General features: G+C 40.7%; 1 annotated feature.

The window, feature by feature from the left end:
* Positions 2,032 to 2,874: an enhancer, noted in NCBI's record as "OCT4-NANOG hESC enhancer chr2:205093005-205093847 (GRCh37/hg19 assembly coordinates)". NCBI's record gives its function as "activates a minimal SCP1, AML or CMV promoter by ChIP-STARR-seq in naive H9 embryonic stem cells {active_cell/tissue: H9 hESC(naive)}" and the evidence as "EXISTENCE:reporter gene assay evidence [ECO:0000049][PMID:30033119]".

The following is a 21,943-nucleotide window of genomic DNA, read 5'->3' on the forward strand; positions in this document are numbered from 1 at the left end:
GACCAAGAACTCTTTGGAAATATCAGCACAGGAAAGACTTTAGAAATTGTTGCTATTTAACAAGACTGGTTGCTCCCACCTGTGCCCAGAATATGTTGGTCTATTGATAGATGTGGTGTGGGTCCCTGAGTCTCTGTACCTTCCCTCTCCTCTATCCTCCCACTTAGTTCTACCTTGGATTGATTCTGCCTCCTAGCAAAGAGTTAAAGGTTATCATGCAGGGATTTAAGTCCGGGCACGCTGGCAGACATGTACCAAGGCAACGGCAGCTACAAATAGCGTGTGGTACAAGCTTTCAGGGTAAACATCAATTTCTCCAATTTGCTACAGCCTGAGAAACTTATAAGCCTAGCGAATGAATTGTGAGTGTGGGTTTTGTGCTGGATGGATGGAGCAGAGGTTGTTTTCATAAAGCACTGTTAATGTACACTGATTCCTCAGTTTAAATATCGTGAGGGGTGAAAAGCCACAGCTGTTTCACTCACTGCGCTTCTTACATGCACCGGTTTTACTCTTGGACAGGGGCTGCCCTGCAGTATCTCTCCCGGATTCAGCTTCATACTGATGTGGGAGGTCACCAGAGCTTGTCCCCAAACACCAGGCAAAGGGTCCCCTCATCTCTCTGCTTATTGAAACCCTATCTCCATCTTCAAGTCCTCTACCTAGCTTTCAGCTTAAACTCTTATTGGCTACACATTTATCTATGAGTCGTGCCCTGTATTTGGAAATACTTTCTGGTTCTATGAGATATTTAGACTCCCATGATAGGTATTGAGCTCTTTTCACTCAGTGTGCACTGTGTTAAGTGCTTTATGAGGACTGTCTTATTTTATATGTATATTTCTGTGAGATCAGTACAATTATTATCAGCATTTTATCGTGAGAAAAAAATGAAACCCCTGGTGAATTGACTTGCCCCAAATCACAGAACAACTAAGTGCTAGAGCTGAGATCCCAACCCTTAGGCAGTCTAAATCCATTTAGAACGTTCATCCACTGCACTGTGTTTCTCTTCAGTCCTTTGTGACTTACTAACCTTCCATGTTTATATCTGGGCTTTTACATCAGAGTTCCCTGAGAACTGAATGTTATTTACATGTCTTTGTTCCCCCTTCCCCCAGTGTACCTAGGACACACAAATACTTATTAATTTCAAAGGGCCAAAGCAATCCTAGAAAAAACCAGGACAACCACCAAAACCTACAAAACCAGAAATATGATTCTCCCCAAAGGAGACACAGCTTTTTCTTCCCAATGACATGAAAAGACTGGAATATGATAATTTAGTTGAAAGACAACTTTAAATATAAGTTTCATTAATCAGAATGGGTATTCCTACAATAATAAGTCCTTAGTTGAATTTTAGAACCCTCTTTATGCTTTGTTAATAACAAAGCTGTTATAAAAATAATTTGATAAGACAGTCCATTGCAATGGTGTAACTTAACTATGTAAAAAGGTGCCTTAGCCTGGTGTCTGAGCACACCCAACTTATGTAATGCTAACATAATGCATTATGCATATTGTATCAGGTTAAAAATGAAACGCAGTGAAGTATTACAGCAATTTAAAAAATATATATCGGGGCTTGTTCAGCACAGATAGTTAAAATTTAAACCTGTTTAAATATTCAACTGAAACTAAAATAAAATGCTGAAAAATGGAATTCAATAGAAAGTCTCCATTAAGAGTAAAAATGCTTCTCCAAATCCATTTGGTTCTAATAGAAACCCATTGAGTGAGGTTTTCATTGTCACAGCACCAGCCAAGGGAAAAATTATACATATCTTTGGGTAGGAGAAAATCAGCTGGACTTCTTGTGGTACGAGCTTCCCTTAGAAAAGCAGAAGAAAAGGGAAGCTTTGGACTAACACTCAGTTTGGGCCACAGTTTGTTTAAAATGGTCTGGAGCTTTTTCTTAAAGATTATCTTCCCCATTTGTTCTCTTGCTTCAGTGAAACCTTATTTCACCTTCCACATCAAATGTGATTCTAAAAAGAAAAAAAAAATTGGCACCTTTTGCTGCAATATCAGGATACTGACCAATCTGCCTTGTGAGAGCCAAGCTTTCTTTCCCTGATAAACATCCTGCAGGATGTTTTTATTCAATCAATTGGAATGATTGCTTGCACAGAAATGTACCGCTTTATCAAGGTCTGCTTGAATATCAGGCTTGGGCCCAGCCCCAGCATTTTCGTTACTCAGTTCTCCAGACAGCAAATGCACAAGGATTCTGAAACATAATTAAAACAATCAGTGAGAATTACCCAGCTCAGTTACCGCACTCAAAAAGCAAACCCAGAGAAGCAAATAGGGAGATGTGTGGGTAAGTGAATGGGAGCCTTCCAGAGACGAGGGAGGGCCGGTAGGAGACATAAAATGGAGGGTATTAAGAGAAGAAATATAGGATAATATAAACAGAGTCTCTAATCCTGAGGACTGTAAATCCCCTTTCCTTAATTGGTTTAGAAACTGGGGTCTGTAATGTGAGACGGAGGGCTCTGGCTGCCTTTCTTCTTGGCTGCCCGGAATCACATTAAGTGGGAAACAATAGCAGGGCTGACAGCTCCCTTTCTGTGGGGGCACTTAGAGCTGATCTGCCATTGAGACTAATAAAATTACACGGGATTAGAGCACTGCTGAGGATACCTAGATTGGGGAATTCTCAGTGGAAGTGGAGCTGGCTCTTTCAAAACAGGGTTGGGGCTGAAGAGAGACAGCAGACCAAGACCACAGTGCCCCTATTTTACAATGAAGGGAAATAACCAGGATTTTGTCATTAACTCAGGATCTTGACGATACATCCTAATCCAAACAGAATTCGAATTTGAGATTTCTTCTTTGGCGCTTCACACTGTTTTGCTTACTTTTAATGATTTTTGTTGAGTTTAGATATTTCCCTGCAAGTGTACACCTTTCTACTTGTTCTCACAGTGTGAGCTTCACTTCAGTTTCTCAAGACAGAGAGAGGACCTATATTTAGGATTTTAGGAGTCATGACTGGCCAGAGGGTCATTCCTGGTCTCCACTTGTATTCCCTTTGCAAACCTGAACTGACAGATACTGGTTTTTTTTTTGGTTTGTTCTTAATTTCTAACAAAATGATTGTGGAAATCTATCAGTGCTGGTGACATGACCACAACTGACAAGTGAATTCAGGGTTTTCATGAGAATCCCTGGGAACCTGACATTAGTCTCATGCTTATTACACCAGGGAGAGGTGTGATATTTATCAAGGGAATACGTGAGAAGGGTACAGTGCTTTGAAAAAAATATCAATTTTTTGAAAAAGCACTGCAAATTTCCTCTTTATCGACCTCAGAAATAGTTCCAAAAAAAGTACTACATAATATCAAGTACTATGTTTCTCAATCATCTGGAAATATTTCCAACTAACTCTTATTTCTTATTTTTAAATAGAAATAGCAAATATGGCATGCTTATCCCATCCTTAGACTAGTAGAACAATACTTTTCTAATTTAATTCCAAACCTATGGTCCTAAATAAGTGCCTTTAGAGAATGTTATAATTATTTTGCCTTCTATATGTTCTATTGAAATGATCACTGAATTCTGAACATTTTATTAATATATAATGATGAACACACACACACACATCAAAATAAATCAATTCTGATACTAGAAAATCCTTCTGATGGCCCAGCAATGGCAAATAACCTCTGGCCTAAACGTTCATCTACTCGTTGGGTTACGGTATTTTCTGCAAAAGTCCATGTTTTAATGCAAATGTGACAACTTGGGATACTAACTAAATATGACAATTTGTTTTTGAACGTGAAGCCCAAAGGGAATGAGATGCTGGTAATTCTGATCTGTATATGGGAAGTAGGGAAGGAAAGGATAAAAGTGGAGAATGTTAGATGAAGACAGATGTTAAGGATTTCACATAGTAATTAATATGAAGTTTACCCAGTTCTGAGCAAAGCAGCTAAAGACCCTTTTTGGCTTGCTTTCTGTTCAGTGCTGTCACTTGTTCTTAGCTTGTACTTATTCACTGGAGCTGGAATCACCTCTTCAGCCCTGGGAATGAGAATGAGTTGTCCTCCAGTTCTGCAAGGAGAGGAGCCTTCCATACCTTTCCTCCAGAGGCCTCTGCTGGTTAACAGAGGGCAGCAAATGCTGATACCAGGCTCTCTATACCCACGCCCACTATCCACAGGGCAACCCTAGGTGATGGGTAAGATGGTGGAGGCACCTGAGGCTCAGAAAGATGAAGTACCTTGCCCCAAGACTGTGACTTAATTCATGTGGTTCTGTCTTACTCCATTCTACACACTGCTCTGTGTGGCTTCCCAACATTATCGTTACCATCTTTATCATCACTGCCACCATGACCGCTGCTTGTGGGAGGCCTACTCTCTGCCGGGCAGCGGGCTAAGCACTTAAATGCTTTGTTTCACATCATCATCACAACCCTGCAACGCGGGTAGGTGTTTTTATTCCCACTGTACATGAAAGAAAACTTAGTTTCAGTGAGGTTAAATAACTCACCTAAAGCCACACCTCCAGAACTGTTAAACTCAGGATTTCAACCCAAGACTTTGTGAAGCTGGAGCTTTTTCTTTTTTCCATTACCCTATGGTACCTTTTCAGATAGTATGTGACTACAGTGAATGCATGATGCCGCATCAATGGTTTTGCCATACTCAGCATCAATTCCTCCAACTTCTCGCTGGGAAATGCTAATCTCAACTTTAGGAATGGGCACATGACCAAGTATTATGAGGCAGAGCATATCATCCCCCAGCCACAGTGAATGGCAGAGCCAGGGCCAGGGGTCAGTGACCAGTGTATTGGATTGGACTCCACACTCACAAGGGTCCCATGTTTGACTTAATGCTCAGCTGTCACCATGTTGAAATTCTTAATAATTTTTGAAAAAAGATGCCTTGCATTTTCATTTTGGACTGGGCTCTACAAATTATCTGGTTCTGGTGATTGGTTTAGGGCTGGACAAATGAAACAACAATCTACATCAATGACACTCAATTCCAGGACTTTTCTGGACTTTTTGAGAAAGTGGAGTTCTTTCTATTGGAGTGGTAAGCCTGGAGGTTCTGGGGGCCACCATGTGCTGAATCTGCCTGAGAATGAAACCCGAGAAAAGCAGAGCTGAGAGAATAAAAAAAAAGATAGTGCCTTGATTAAACCATCTGAGTCCTTGGGCGGAATACAGTTTTTATTATTTTATTTTTTGCCTAAGTCAATTTGGGCTGAGTGTTTGTGCAACTCAAGAATCTTGAATGAATACAGTGGCAGGCTGGGTTCTCCAGAGCAGACAGAGCCAGGGTTTAGGTTGCTGGATGTTTATGAAGGACCCACATCCGTGGAGGGAAAGGGGAGGTAGCATGACTACACAGCAGAGGGCAAACTTCTTCCTCTTGCTGATCTGGCAAAGCCTCAGCCAACCTGGTAGGTGCTCTGGACTGCTTTGGCTGTCTGAAGTATCCTGTGTTGGGTCAGAGTGGCCCTGCTTTTATAGCCTGACTTGCTCAGTCTCCAGATGGGGCTGCCCCAGGAAGGGTATGTACTTGAGTGAGGTAGCTCCCTGAAGGAGCTGACAGCTGGAGGCTGTCTGCTGACCTTGCTCCCTGCAGCTGGGCAGCAACTCCTTCTTTGAAACTGTCACTATGCAGCCCATCTTAATTTGAGCTCTTTAGAAAGCAGAAATCAAGACAAAATCTTATATATACTCTTTTATTAGGGTGTAGGGAGGCAGAAAATCGTGGGTGGTGAGACAGAAAGAAAGTATAACCAATAGAAAGATGTATTATAGAGTTGGCCTCTACTTGATGCCAAGCATTACTGATGCTTCATCTCAGATCCTGTCCACGGACAGTCCGTCCTGAGAGAAGAAGGAAGAAGAGCATCTGCAGATGGCCTTCTCCTTTGGATAGGAGATAACAGGAGATAACAGGCACTTAGGCATGCATAAAAGCAGCCAATTCTGAGTGCAAGGAATACCAAAATGTATAATTTAAAATCTCCTATCCTCAGGTTCACCATCTAGTTGGGAAGAGGCAACACGTACCAAAAATTATGACAATATAGATTGAGTAGGCAATTTGTGCCAAAATAATGGTGCAGATAATACATACTCATGGTACCTCTGAGAAGCAATAGGTGATGGAAATGGGTAGTCAGGAAAGTGTTTACCTAGACATGAGACTGGAGCTACATCTTAAGGTTAGGACTTCTGTAATTGGAGAGAAAAGAAGCAGAGTAGGGGAAGTAATGCAAACGCACATCTTAGAGCAGCAAATGCATGAAAAGGCTAAAGTTTTACTATAGAGTCAGAAAATAAATGGAAGCATGGAAAAAAAGAGAATGGAGAAACAGGAGAAGAAAGGGCGGGGAGCTGGTGGGGACTGCTACTATTATATGTACAGAGCTAATATCATTTTAGGACTGTAAGGTTAAATTCATTTCAAAAAAGTGTTGTCTTACCCATCCTCAAGACCAGTGGTGTTGAATTGCCAAGTGCAGGTTCTATGTCTACACATTGTTTATGAAACTTTTTCAGTGTAGATTTTGGAAGTGATTAAATTCAATGAAGTTAGCAATGACTACATATCTCTTTTCCTGGAAACATAAAACCCCTCTTTAAACAATTAAAACTCTATAATTTGCTGAGAATCTCTTATTTGGCATGTCAAGGTTTAAGGAAAGGAAGCAAGTACAGTTAGACCCATACATTACTTGCCAACTGCTAGACAACACTGAAGAGATATTTCAATCTCCTCTTAATTTGTTTCTCCATGTGTGTTCATATTTCATGGGTGTTCAAATGCAGTAATTGTATTGAATAAAACATAAAAATAGGATCCTTAAAAATGTCATTTATTCAGGAAATGGGGAGTTATAGATTCCAGGTCTGGCCTTCTAGTCTCTGCCAGAAACTGTACACCTGTGGGGTAGAAAATCCCATTTTTTTCTAGAAGTTGAAGTGCATGGAAAAGTTTCAGGAGGAAAGAAACATCATTTTAAAAATGATTTGCACTCCTTTAAAGTACCCACTGTGGATGCTCACATAACTCTATGATGATCTTGCTAGTTTGGCTAGTTTACGCAGAAACCTTGGTGTATTGACAGATAGTTTCAGGAAACCATGAATATAGGAGTGATTTAAGGATTTCTCAAATAGACATAGTGGTTTGGTGAGCATAAGGCTAAATTTAGGGATCCTAAAGCCTACTTCTCAAAAATATTCAGAAGAAGACTTGTTTTCTTCACTGCAGAAGAAACAGATCATTAGGGCATCACTGCTCTGTAATATTCACAGCTGTAGAGGATGAAGCCCTGCAGTCTTCATGTTGTCACGCTATTCACTGATATAACCAGCACCTGGCTATTATTTGTTTATTATTTGTTTAAGTGAACAAAAAAATAGCCTCAGTCCTCCCAGGTGGTAGGGAAAGGCACTCCCTTCCTATTTTCATAAAGCGCCAAAAGCCTTCTCCCTATATGAAGCTATCCAGTCCCAAGTTTGAAGAGCGACCCCCATCCCACCCCAGTATGTCACGAGAGGCTGTGTCCTTGTTTTGTAAGTCACCTTCCTGATGCAAGGTCAATATTATTATTCCCATTTTGCACACTTTGCACAGTAGATAAAGTTTCAATTCCCAACAACTGAACTTCCCAAATATTTATATGATGGAATGAACTTAACTCCAATCATATGGGCATAAAAATATGCATGCCCACCAGGGCATTGTTAGATTTCAGAAAGAAATTTTATTCACATTAAAATATGGTCTATAGCAGCCCAATTGTAAAAATAAATAAATAAATAAATAAAAACACATTGTGTGTGGGCCTCTTTTGCATATTTAGATATGGAAGAATGTGAGCAGTCGCCAGATAATATAATTTTCATTCACCCAAATATCGAGCACAATTCAATGAAGAAAATGCAACTTTTGCCGTGAGATTTATACATGCTTATATACCCTTCATTTTGAGTCTGTATGAAATGCAGACATTTATGCTTCTATAACCAGAAGAATAAAATTTGAATGTGTAGTAAAACGAGAAATGTATTTTAAATGGGCTTTAGAAACAGAACTGAGGAAGTCATCAGAAGGCCACAGTCACTAATGTAATTGGTTATTTTGCTAGATGGCCACTCAGATGGAGGCCCGGCAGGCACAGGATTGAATTCAGGCTGATGGGCATGGGAGATGAAGTGGTGACTTCCTGGAAAAGATTGAGATACAGCAACACAGTAATCCAGACTGGCCATAAAGCATGCCATAAAGCCACTGTGAGAAATTCCTCCTGCCCATGTGATGCGTCCTTATTTTTTTACTTTAAAAGAAGACTGATTTTATGATTTGGCACAGATCATTGATCACAGTTTTTTTCTATTGCAAATATCTCCCAGCTGTGTTCTGTGTTAAATTTGCAAAAGATATAACCATTATTTCCACAAAATATTGGAAGATTGAGTGGCCATTTGCCCATCGGCACCCATCACTTCCAATATAACTCCTCCGGGCAGGCACTATAAAAGCCACTTACCAGCCCCAAGTGATGCATGGTAAAGGGGATGCCTTAGAGTGATCCTGCTGGGATGGGCAGCTGGTGTTGTTGACTGGCCTGTAGCTCTTCCCCCTTGTCCTGAAATAACTCGGCATTCCAGTAGAAAACCTGCATCATGTTGGTCGAGTGGAGATGAAGCTGGTCTCTCTTCAATCCCTACTACAAGATGTCATGTGACACAAGCTGAACCAATCAGAGAATCCCATCCTGGTGAAAGTCATTGGTGGAAAGATACCCTTGTGACCCAAGCTGGACCAATCAGTGTCCTCCCCCAGAATTCTCCATGAGCACTTGAAGGGAAGACTGGCTCATTCCAACAGTGTTACTAAGCAGGGGATACGGGCCGAGGGCTGTTGGCAGCCATTTTTACTAACCACATAGGGAGAAACATTCCAAAGACTGAAGCCAAGCCAAGACAGGATAAGCTCAGAAATGGAAATAAACCAAACATATTACCCAATTTGAGTTTCTGTATCCAGTCATGCCTGCTTCCAGTAATAGACCCCCTTCTTGGTTTTGTGAACTAATAAATTTCCTTCTTTGCTTAATGTAGTTTGAGTTGGGTTTCTTCTATCACTGGTCATCAAAAAACATCCTAAAACACTCGAAGTTCAGGTAGAGGCAAACTATGTTCTCCCATATTTACCAGGCTTCCTTGTAGCCTAGGTGGGGGCCATGTGACTAGTTCTTGCCAATAGACTATGAGCAGAAGTAATCAAAAGCTGAGGCATTTAAGAGATGGTGCACCTCCTTCAGCCCTCTCTTTCTCTTTTGCTGACATTTAGAGTTCATGTTTACCAGATAGTATGGCTAGATGACGGCAGAGCTGGCATCAGCCTGGGCTACTCAAACTGTATAGAACAGAACTCTCTGCTAACCTTTGCTCTTTTAAACTATGAAGATTTTCAGGACTAGTCTGTTACACAGGCATATCAGGGCTTGTGATAGAAATGAAGCTCAGCTATGGAAACATTAAGATCTATCTCTATCTCTATCATCAATTTGCTCTCCTGAGTTGTGGCTGAGATCCATGAGTCTTTTGTATTGCTTCTTCCTACTATAAGAAGTAGAGGTAGGAGGTATCAAAGAAGACATAAAAGAACCAAGAATAGGGAGACAATGAGGACAGAAGCCCTCTTTAGTATTGTGCCTAAAGACAGTGGTAAAGATCTCAGCCTCAAAGGAAACCAACATTCAGAGTCCAACTGTGAGTCAAACATTTCACCTACGTTATTTTATTCCATCCTCACCTACAGACAATTAGATGACACTGTCAATGAAACTAAATTCCAAAGAGATTAAGGCAAGTCACAGATTCCTGACTAGAAAGGGCCAGCTTTGAACCATATCTTTTCAGCTGCACAATCTAGCCCAAATTAGTTCCATTATTACTATTAATAGTAGTATAAATATTACTTAGAGATAATACTTTCCAGATGCATTCAAAATGCCAGTCTCCACCACCCGCTCTCAATGATAGAGATAGAGACAGAGAAAGCAAGATCCGGCCATGTCTGGTCTGAGTTTTTTTGTTTTTTTTTTTGATGGAGTCGCACTCTGTCGCCCAGGCTGGAGTGCAGAGGTGTGATCTTGGCTGACTGCAACCTCCACCTCCTGGGTTCAAGCAATTCTCCTGCCTCAGCCTCCTGAGTAGCTGGGATTACAGGTGCACACCACCATGCCCGGCTAATTTTTGTATTTCTAGTAGAGACGGGGTTTCACCATGTTGGTCAGGCTGGTCTCGAACTCCTGACCTTGTGATCTGCCCGCCTCAGCCTCCCAAAGTGCTGGGATTACAGGCGTGAGCCACCGCGCCTGGCCTGGTCTGAGTTCTTGAGTTCAGTTACACACTAGGGCTTTAGGAGTGAAGTACATGCTGCCCAGTCTCCTGATACCACTATTCCCTTGTCCTTGGATTCTTACATGCCTTGCCTGGTCACTATTGGAATGCATCAGTCTCTCTTCAACACCTAGTCTGGGACATTTTCCTTCCTAGCTTGATCAGTTTTACTGTTGGGCACACAGCCAATTCAGATCCCATTATCCCTTTTTCCCTGCTTCTCATATTATCTAGGCTATTTCTCCTTGCCTTGACAAATGTCTTGAACTGTTGTTGGTCCCCACTTCTATCTAATTTGTCAGCCAGTGTGCTCCCTGCAGACTAACCTACAAATTCTCCAGTCTGGACCCAATCATTTTTTCTGAATTTGTGAAAGACTGCCCATCATTCTTATCTCTTTGCGACATTAGCATTCTCAACAAATACTTCCAAGTGATCACCTTCTGAGTTTCTAGTAAAACTAGATAGGAATAAATTTCAATCCAAAAATAGGACTGAAATTTCAAATGTACAGTCATTTGGTGAAGGACATTATTTCTCCTTAAGACTTCTAACTTATCTTTAAGTTAGTAAGAGTCTCTCACTCCAAACCCCATGCAATTTATACCAAATATAATGTGCATTGCTATCCAAAATGCCAAGTATGAAATTAAGGAGAAGCCGGTCATTGCAGAATCCCCTAAACTAGACACCAAGTGCAAGAGTATGCCTGATTGTTTGAAGGGGAGTCTGGGGGCTTGCAATAATATGGAACCAGGCAAAACTATCCACTGCTACATTGCCGTAGTTAAAACCAAAACAAAGCCCTGTAGATAAAAATGTAACTTCCCCAAATGGAAACGTGGGGAAGAGACTGGGATTAAGTCTCTGAATTGCCATGAAAGTATTTGCAAGCAGTCAGGGCATTCATGCAGTCACATCACACTTAAGTAATGTCATTGCGCTGTGGCACAATTAGGACTCTTTACAGGCTATCACTTAAATCAGTATTTATGAAGTGCTCAGGCTGCAGATTAGGAGCCAAATCTGGCCCTTTCCCCACTAGTGACTAAAATAATGAATAAAAATCTCATTGACTACATCTCTGAGAACATCACATTGTCATGAACTCCTCCCCGAGACAGTGAATTCTATAAGCATTAATGGGTTTTATTCAACAAATATCCATTTCGTACTCAGACAACTTCTGCCGCTGACACCTGCCAATTCATATTTTAAGAAGAAATCACTGAGCTTATAGAGTTGTCATTTTAAAAATGAATGTGGCTCATTATCTTTATTTATATCCTTCTTACTGCTCCAAACTATCAACCCAGAAGGCCTCTGAAGTTTTTTATTTTGGAAAAAGTACTATGTTTCTTATTTAAAATCAAACACTGTATTTTGTCAGTTAACAATGGGTTGATTTCTGCATTAGGTTCTCATTAATTTTATTTCAATTGGAATGTGGGAGGAAAGAGGCCCCAGCCATCTGGACCTAAGCAGATATGTTAGCATTGGAAGGTTTCTCCAGGGCTTGAATGGGGGAAGGAGACCTAGTCTTCAGGAGCCTAGTGCCTGGTGGCCTGCCGCTCTAGCCATCGTCCTTTGGGCAAGTCATGGCCCCTCTTTGAACTTCCTGTTACCTCAGTTGTCAAACACTGTGTCATCAAAAGAGTTTCCATAAGGTCTCTTCATATCCCGAAATTTTGTAACTTCTGGTCCTCTAGAATGATTCCCTTTCTTCAAGCTGATAGGATGTCATTGTGCCCACTTTCTGCAAAGCTTTTTCTGATGTCTCTATCAGGCAAAGTTCTATTCAGCCTTCAAATCCCAGCTGAGTGGTGCCTCTTTGATTCTCATTAGATTTAGGATGCCTTCTTCTAAGCTTACATCTTACTCTGTGCAGAGGTTATTCTTTATGTTATAATGAATATTGTGGTAGACAAAATAATGGCTCTCCAAAGATTTCAATGTTCGAATCCCCAGGACCTGTGAATATGGTACCTTACAGGGCAAACGGGACACTGCAGAGGTGATTCAGTTAAGGAGCTGGAGATGGGAAGATTGTCTTGGATTATTCGGGTGGGCCCAATGCAGTCACAGAGGTTTTTGTAAGAGAGAGGAAAGAGGGTCAAAGTCTGAAAGAGAAGATGTGATGATGGAACCAAAGTGATGTGGTTTGAAGATGGAGGAGGGGGCCATGAATCAAGGAATGTAGGCGGCCTCTAGAAGCTGGGAAAGACAAGGAAACAAATTCTCCCCTGAAGCCTCCAGAAGGAACCCAGCTCTGTCAACACCCTAATTTTAGACTTCTGACCTCTAGGAATGTAGAAGAGTAAGTTTGTGTTGCTTAAAGCCACTCAATTTGCAGTAATTTGTTACAGTAGCAATTGAAAACCAATAGAGACTATGATATTTAATACTACCATATTAGCACTCTTTGTATGACTGCCCCCTTGCTAGCCAATGAACTTTTTGAGTGCAAAGAGCACCTTTAAAATATCCTCAGTTATTAGAGTGTCCTTGGCATATAGCAGCTACTCAAAAGATATTTGTTGAATGAATGAATAAATAAATACAACTTGTTTTACAGAGATAATGTAAAAATGTAGGGAGTAAATGACTTGCCCAAGGCTGCACAATAATGGGAATGTTGCCCAAATGCTGTACTTTCTCTGGGATGTAGTATTTATTTTGACTAATTTTTTTCACAGATACTGCAATACCAACAATGGTTTAAATACTGTTTAAGTACCTTTGTCCCCTTTGCTTCATATGAAACCACGCTACCTAAATCTAGACCCTTGGATAGAGACTGGTTTTTATTTATTTATTTTAAGCATAACTTTTGTGATTTTATAAGAAAAAAAACATTTAAACATTGGCAGAGTGCATTACATTATACAGTTTCTCTTGGAGCTTTTTCAGTGATTCAATGTTAAAGCTAAGTAGTCCAGATTTTGAGTAACAAAAATATTATGTGCACTTCATCTGTTTGTTTAAAATGGGCTCTCTAAACAAAACAAAACCTATACTTTGCTCAAAGTTACCCGTGTTAGTGGGTGTGAATGTGTGTATTTACACATGGCAGAATGAAAAGAGGATTGTGGAGGTGGGGGTGGGGTGGGGCCAGGGGGTGGGGGAAGCAGAAAAGACCAATCCCTACCCCTTCCCCTCCCAGATCCCTTCCAGAGTGAAGGTACAGCTGAAATCCCACTGACTCCTCATTAGGGTGTTGCATGCAGGCCAGGACAGGAAGAAGAGCACATTTTTGAGCACTAGTCCTTGGAGAGACGTGCAAACGTGACTGCCATTTAAACTGCAGATGGTCACGGTTGTCTCAATCTGTGTGTGGACAGCTGCTTGCTGTCCTCTCAGTCTTCTAGGAGAGTTTGTTCTGTTGTCTGGCAAGTCCCTTCATCCAAAAGGAGTACCTATTTGAAAAGGAGAGGAGTTGGCTTGATGTCGCTTTGTAAGAAGAGTTTGAGTATTTTAAAGCAACTTTCATGGAAAGAGAAAAGTCTACACGTCCTTTACAGGGATACATTTGGATTCAAATGGTTAGATCCTGCTATAATTGTTGAAATAACTTACTACTTTAGAGCTTCAAATTCTGATTTTCATTAGAAAAACCATATTTAAAACTCCGTTTGCATTTGAAGATAGAAAATCTTTAGGAAGCATCTATCCACAAGTATTTTTTTAATGCTAGTAATCAATGGTGAAACAAAAGAAGAATAAAATGCAGTGTTTTTCCACAATTGAGCTTTCTTTTTTTTTCGAGATGGAGTCTTGCCATGTCACCCAGGCTGGAGTGCGGTGGCATGATCTTGGCTCACTGCAACCTCCACTTCCCAGGTTCAAGCAATTCTCATGCCTCAGCCTCCCAAGTAGCTGGGATTACAGGAACGCACCACTATGCCTGGCTAATTTTTGTTATTTTTAGTAGAGACGGGGTTTCACCATGTTGGCCAGACTGGTCTCGAACTCCTGACCTCATGATCTTCCCATCTTGGCCTCCCTAAGTGCTGGGATTATAGGCGTGAGCCACCATGCCCCACCCACAATTGAACTTCCAGTCTCACGGAGGAGATACGGTGTCACCCCTACCAGTGCAAAACGAAAAACTAGCCTACAAGGTACACATATCATATACTTTTATTGAAAAGCCATAATGAATATTAAAAAATTGGGGGAACACAAAAACACTTATTCTCCTACTACCCTAGCACAACCATGTTCATTTGCATAGTTCTGTCTCGCCATATGTGGCCATGAGCAAGAAAGCAGTATATGCAAAAATAGTATGTTTTGATTCCACCATTATGACCCCACAGTTTGTTCTTTGTTTCCCACATGGTGTGGGAAAGGGAGACACAGTATATTTAGAATTATTTGAACACATTTTTATAATTTTAGCAATATAACTGTTAAGAAACTTATTCTATGCTTGTCACCTTGTCATTCAGGTCTCAGCTCAAATATTACCTCTTCAGGGAGAACCTTCTTGACAACCTGATCTAATGTAGCTTTCTAAACTGTCACGGTCACATTATGTTGTCTAATTTTCTTCACAGTCCTTATTTCAGTATGAAATTCTTCTGCCCCTTTATTTGTTTGACTGTCTCTTCTTTTCTAGCCAACAATTAGAAAGGAAACTACATAAGAGCAGAAACATTATCTTCTTGCACAGATGTATCCTAAGTGCCTTGATTAGCACCCGGTGTGTAGTAGGCCCTCCCTTGATACTTGTGATTGAATTGATGAAATACAAATTATCACTTTTTCGTCTAATTCATAACGAACCTTACTCATAGTGAAAAACAAAATAAAAGTGACTGGCTAAAACTTGCAAACAGTAAAAGCTATTATAAACGAAAAATTGGCAAAAGAATCAAGCTCATTGGTAATATTGGAATTTAAAAATGGATCTGAGGCCAGGTGTCGTGGCTGATGCCTGTGATCTCAGCACTTTGGGAGGCTGAGATGGGAGGATTGCCTGAGCCCAGGCAAGTTTGAGACCAGCTTGGGCAACAAAGTGGGACTCCATCTCTACAAAAAACAATAAAAATATTGGCACAAAAAACATGCCAAGCATGGTGCACATGCCTGTAGTTCCAGCCACTTGGAGACCTGAGGTGGGAGGATCGCTTGAGTCCAAGATGTAGAGGCTGCCATGAGCCATGTTTGTACCACTGCACTCCAGCCTGGGTGACAGAGGGAGGACCTGTCTCAAAAACAAAAGCAAAAATGGATCTGAGGAAACATAGAGTTGGTTGAAATAATCAACACAAGACAGACAATGGCTAAAATTGCAGATGGCACAATTTGTCCTTGGCTAAAAAATGACGGGAGAACTAAATCTTCTAAACAAAACTATATCATAATTTTGACCCTGGACAATTATACTTGGTGGTCATAAAAGAAAAATCATAATAGAAAAAGATATAATAGGTAACATTTCATATGTTTGGGGAAAAAGTGATGGGTAAATCAAATATTCATCATACAACTCATAAGAATTGATTTTGAGTAAAATAATTTTGGTTACATGTAAATGAATAAAAAGGAAATTGTTTAAATGGTTTATATGGAAAATTCGATCAAATAATGGGATTGGCTTAATGTATTTTGATTTCAAAATGCTTTCTTGGCAATGGTAATAAAATTATAATTTAAGTGGTTGTGCTTTCAAATATGGAATCCATATATTCTTATGGGAAAAATGGTGGAATAGCAACTTCCTACAATCTAGCTGAATATACAGCTATAGAGCAAAATAAATAATAAAGCACTAATTTGAGAAGCATAAACAACCATAAAATAGACGAGTGTACACTGTGCTAAGGATAAAAATGTATCATTCTGGAATTATCAGGGGAGGCTCCCCGGAAAGCAGGGTAGCGCTATCCAGATGGCCGGCCTTGGGCAGGTCACTCAGTGTCTCTGGTTTTGGGCATGTTCAATAAGAGTCCAAGCTACAATTTAGACTAAAGTCAACCCAGAGAGCTGACCAAAGAGAAAGTACATATTACTGAGGATGGGAACAGAAACAGTGAGTAAGAGGACATCCTGGGCTAACCTTTAGGAGCTGCCAACGTTTAGGGGTTACGAAGATGACAAACCCCTGGAAAAAGGAGCAAAGAATGAGCAAAGAAATAAGATAATAAGACAGTGCAACGTGAGAGGGCCCTGAGACCTGAACATATGTGAAAGCAGACAGTCAAATACTATTGGGAAATATTGTCAACAACAAAAATAAGTCTCCTGAATTTGACTAGAAGTCTAATTTTGACATGGAGGCAATTATCTTGGGAAACTATAGGAGGAGGTGGTCATTGAGGACAAGAGAATAGTAAGAAATTGAAGGAGAGGGTTCTTGATCAGAGATATTTTGTTTCCTGCTGACAATAATTGAACTTGAGCAAGCATAGGCAATAGGGTAAACTTATTGGCTCACCTGTTCAAACCAGGTAAGGCATGGGTTTGAGAACTTTAAGGATGATCATCACCAGGGAATGAATAACTTCCAGGACTCTATTTTCTTCTTATCTCTGCTTCTCTCTCAGTACTGGCTTCATTTCCTCCTACTGTAGACTAGCTTCTTTCACTTGGCAGAGGAAATTGTGGCTGGTAGATCTTTCATGTCAGCTTTGTCACCAAAGGGTTCTTTTTTTTTTTTTTTTTTTTTTTTTTTGAGACGCAGTCTCGCTCTGTCACCCAGGCTGGAGTGCAGTGGCGCAATCTCGGCTCACTGCAAGCTCCGCCTCCAGGATTCATGCCATTCTGTTGCCTCAGCCTCCCGAGTAGCTGGGACCACAGGCGCCTGCCACCATGCCTGGCTATTTTTTTGTATTTTTAGTAGAGACAGGGTTTCACCATGTTAGCCAGGATGGTCTCGATCTCCTGACCTCGTGATCCGCCCGCCTTGGCCTCCCAAAGTGCTGGGATTACAGGCATGAGCCACTGCGCCTGGCCAAGGATTCTTTGTTTCAATGTTAACATCCCAAGGCAGGACTGACTGGCCAATAGCTATTACCAACAACACAGGACCATGGAAGAAGGCACAAGTGAACAAGACATTCTCCAAAAGAAAAGAGATGGCTAATTTCCAAAACCCCAAAATAAAGAGACATGGGACAGACAAAATGATGTGTTCACTGTAAGCAGTTAGGAAATGGAAATGCTTTTTAAGACAAGAGAAAATAACATGTTTAAAGGCAGAAAGGATAAGATGAAATTGTGGAGAATAAATAAAAAGGAAGAAAAGACATATGGAGGAATTCCCACTTAGTGTGAAATTAACCAGAATGGGGCCTTAAACTCACAAGTGGCTTGGAGAATTATTTTTCTACTTAGTTTGAGTTCTTTCCTGACTTCTGTGCTCTTCCACTCTTCCTGTTTGGTCATCTCCTTGACTAACTCTCCTGCTTCACTCCCTAGTCCTAGTCCAGAGTTTATCTTCTTCCCTTTTGACTGGTCCTTCATTCAGACGTATCTTTTTATAATGGCTCCCCGTGGCTTTGCATTTCTGGGAACTGCCTAGAGCCTTGGACTCTTTCTCCACCCCAGTCTAGGAGTAAGAAGGCTGGGCAGGAACAACCGGGCCTTTACAGACCCAAGAAGGGATGGGATCAGTGGCACAGATGAAGAATTCAGCTATGGCAAAGAAGGGAGGGTGGGCATCTTTCCCTTAGATAAACCAGAAGGAAGAAACAAAAGGGCAAATTTCTGCAAAAAGACAGATTTGAGGAGTGAAGGAGATCGGTTAAAGTTAAGGTTAAAGGAAAGATGAATGAGGGATTTTGGGGAGGATGGCCTCAATCTTTCAGAATAGTCTAAGTCAAGTCCATCTACTGCTAGAAAGGATGGCAAGTGTAGGAGCTTAAGGAGTTTGTCAGTTTCCTAGGCAGCCACAACAAATTACTACAAACTGGGTGGCTTAAAACAACATAAATGTAGTTTGTCACAGTTCTGGATCCCAGAAGTCTGAAGTCAAAATATTGTCAGGGCCTCATTACCTCTGAAGGCCCTAGGGGAGAATCCTTGTTTCTTCCAGCTTCTGCTGGCTGTTGGCATTTCTTGCTTGACGCCACATTATTCCATTTCCAATGTTTTCACATGGCCTTCTCCTCTGTATGTGTGTCAAAATGTCCTCTGTCTTACATGTCATTGGATTTAGGGTCCACCTGGATAATACAGGATGATCTAATCTCAACTCTTAATTTAATTATACCTTTTCCCTAAATTAGGTAATGTTCACTGACTCCGTGGATTAGAGCATGTACATTTCTTTTTGGGGACCACCCCAAAATCCATTCAACCCACTGCAAGGGGAAAAAAAGGTGGATGAACAGATACAGAAAGTTAGCCTTGGAGCATGGCATAGAAGAATAAATAAATATGATTGCTGAAAAGAGACAAAGGCCAAGTCAGAGTTGGACACGTGACTTTTTCTTAGGCCAAGACTGCATGATTCCCCAGTGGCTTTTGGCAGACTGGAAGCAGGAGCAGGCAGTGGGGTAACCCAGAATAGGGTGTTTATAGGTGGGCTTAACAGAGGGTTAGGGAGATGAAAGGCTTGACCTTTCCTACTTCCAGCTGCAGAACATTAGATGTCTGTTTATTGGAGTGAAATAATACATGTTAAATCACCTTGTAAACTATAAAGCATTTAATGGAATAAGGAGGTATAATTTTTACTTATATCCCTCACTCCTCTCTGTACCTTATTCTTTTTTTTTTTTTTTTTTTTTTTGGAGACAAAGTTTTGCTCTTGTCACCCAGGCTGGAGTGCAATGGCACAATCTCAGCTCACTGCAACTTCCGCCTCCTGGGTTCAAGCAATTCTCCTGTCTCAGCCTCCCAAGTAGCTGGGATTACAGGCACCCACCACCACACCCAGCTAACTTTTGTATTTTTTTAGTAGAGACAGAGTTTCACCATGTTGGCCAGGCTGGTCCTGAACTCCTGACCTCAGGTAATCCACCTGCGTTGGCCTCCCAAAATGCTGGGATTACAGGCATGAGCCCTCACGCCTGGCCACCTTATTCTTATATCCCAGAGATATTCTTACTATCCAATTCGACACTCCTTCCTATCCTCTCCTAAATCCCCAGTGAATAAAACTTTAAACAAAATCTCTATTCCAGTAAACCCAAACTTTTTTTTTCATGATGATGCCTGCGGTGACCATAGGATCCAAGTAAAAAAGTCATTGATAAATACTCTGAAAAAAAATACCGGCTCTCCAGTACCGTGATTGCAGAGAGTATATGGCTGTATCACAAGTTTCTAAAAAACATGTTACAGAATTTTCATCTATTGGTAGGACCAGGAAGAGCTCACAAAGCAAGCCTCCAGGTCACATTTCCAGGGCAACACTCAATGGTCCCACCTCATCGGAGAAGGTTTGCTGCCAAAGTGAAAAAGCACGGGTTACTTCACAAACCACTAGATCTGGGATTTTTAAAGTTCATTTCCCCCTTTATCTTTTTCTATCTTTTTATTTTTCTTACAAAGCAGCAGAGCTCTCTCTTCCAACAAAAATTTATGTCAAAACAGATCAAAGTGGAGCTGCCATAGTTGTTGGGGGAAGGCAAGCAAGAATAGCCCCCGCAGCCCGCCTCCCCAGCCTCTGGTGTCTTTTCTGACAGGCCCTTGGAGAGAAGCCCCTGGACACTTCTAGAAATGATTTTGAAGCCGTTGGAGTAGGCTTCAAGGACAAGAGCAGCTCTTCTGGTCCCAGAAAGTTCAGCATCTCTTCTGTGAGTAGCCTGACTCAGACTGAGCCTTCATCAATTAACTTTACTACTAAATAGCAGAATCACCAAATATTTACATGGTGAGAGACTTTAGATAACATCTACGCCGACTCTCTCCTTTTTGGTCAATTCTGAGAACATTCAGCAATAGCTAACTCGAATTCAGTTGCTCCTTCCAACAAGAACATGGAACTTCTTTATTTGTTCTCTCTGTGATCCTTGGCATGAACAACATTAAAAATATCTGATATAAAAGTTTCCAGGACAAATGTTTCTATTTCATTCGTGATGACATCTTACCATTTTTTGAGAATGCTCATAGTCTCAATTAAGGCCTCTGAAGAAAGGATGTCAGTCCAGGCGCCCAGTTATACTAATAGCCCCATTTCAATCAAGCTGCTTTCTGGAGAACATCCTTGTCTTCTACCCCTATCCACCCCTTCAAGATATATATGTATATATATATATATTTTAATTACCAAACATCTCTCTAATCTGAGGGTATGTGTTTTCCTTAAGGTCTATTTATTTCTTGGCCATTTGACATGCCCAAGATAGCACAACTTTCATGGGGCCTGTTTTTACTTCACTACAATTGGCGATTTTCCCTGCTTGAATAAACTTGCACACATTAAAAGTTTTAATAGAGGATTGAGGATTGCAAGTAAGTGTTAATAGGGCAGACCTCCAAAATGAGCCAGATACAAAGGTATTTGGCAGAGGAAAAATAATTCACTAACTTGAAATAGCAGATAAGCAACCAATGGAGTTAGAATCAAATGCCATTATTTGAGAAAGGCGTTCAGTAAAATTCCTTCATACAAATTAACAAATATTTATGCAGAAACTCCTATGTGAAAAACATTGTGCCAGGCTCAGTTATGGGAGTGGGGTGGGGAGGGGAACATGAAGATAAATAAGACAATTTCTTTTCTCAAGGAAATGACCACATAATTGGAGATATTGGCCAATAAACTATAATGCAACACAAAGAAGTTAGTTAAGATAGATTAAGAAGAGGGAGAAACATCATCTGCATGAAAAGTAGGGTGGCTATCAGTGAGAATGGAGAGAGAAGATATTCAGATATTCAAGATATTCAAATATATGAGGCAAAATACATTTTTATCTTAAACTGGCTAGAGAAGGTGATAAAGAGAGAGAGAAATCAAAGATAATATCATGTTTAAAGCCTGTGTTAGTTTCTAATAATGTCATTAGCAGAAAAGTGAGGCAAGAGTGGCAATGAAATGACAAAGTTTTACTTTGAATGGGAAAAATTTAAGGTGGTATATCAATGTAGGTGCAGATACTGATAATCAAGAAATTACACCAAGTGTGATAGCTCACACCTATAATCTCAACTCTTTGGGAGGCCATGGTGGGAGGATCACTTGAGCCTTAGAATCTGAGACTAGCCTAGGCAACATAGCAAGACTCTGTCTCTTCTGTCTCTTTAAAAAAAACAAAAACTGGCTGTGGTGGTGGGTGCCTGTAGTCCCAGCTACTTGGGAGGCTGAGGTGGGAGGATCACTTGAGCCCGGGAGGTCAAGGCTGCAGTGAGCTATGACTGCACTATTGCACTCCAGCCTGGGCTACAGAGCAAGAAGAAATTCAAAGAAAAAAGAAAAAAAATCAAAGAAAAAAAAAGGAAAAAGAAAAAAGAATTGAGAAGAATAGGGTCTTAAGTTGACCTTAAGAGAGAATGTGGCTTGAATCATCTCCATCCAGTGACTTATAAGAAAGTGGACAAGATTTTCAAAGAAATAAGGATAAAGATAGAAAGGGGGAAGAG

This window comes from Homo sapiens, chromosome 2 (genome assembly GCF_000001405.40).
Source record: "Homo sapiens chromosome 2, GRCh38.p14 Primary Assembly".
NCBI classification, from domain to species: domain Eukaryota; kingdom Metazoa; phylum Chordata; class Mammalia; order Primates; family Hominidae; genus Homo; species Homo sapiens.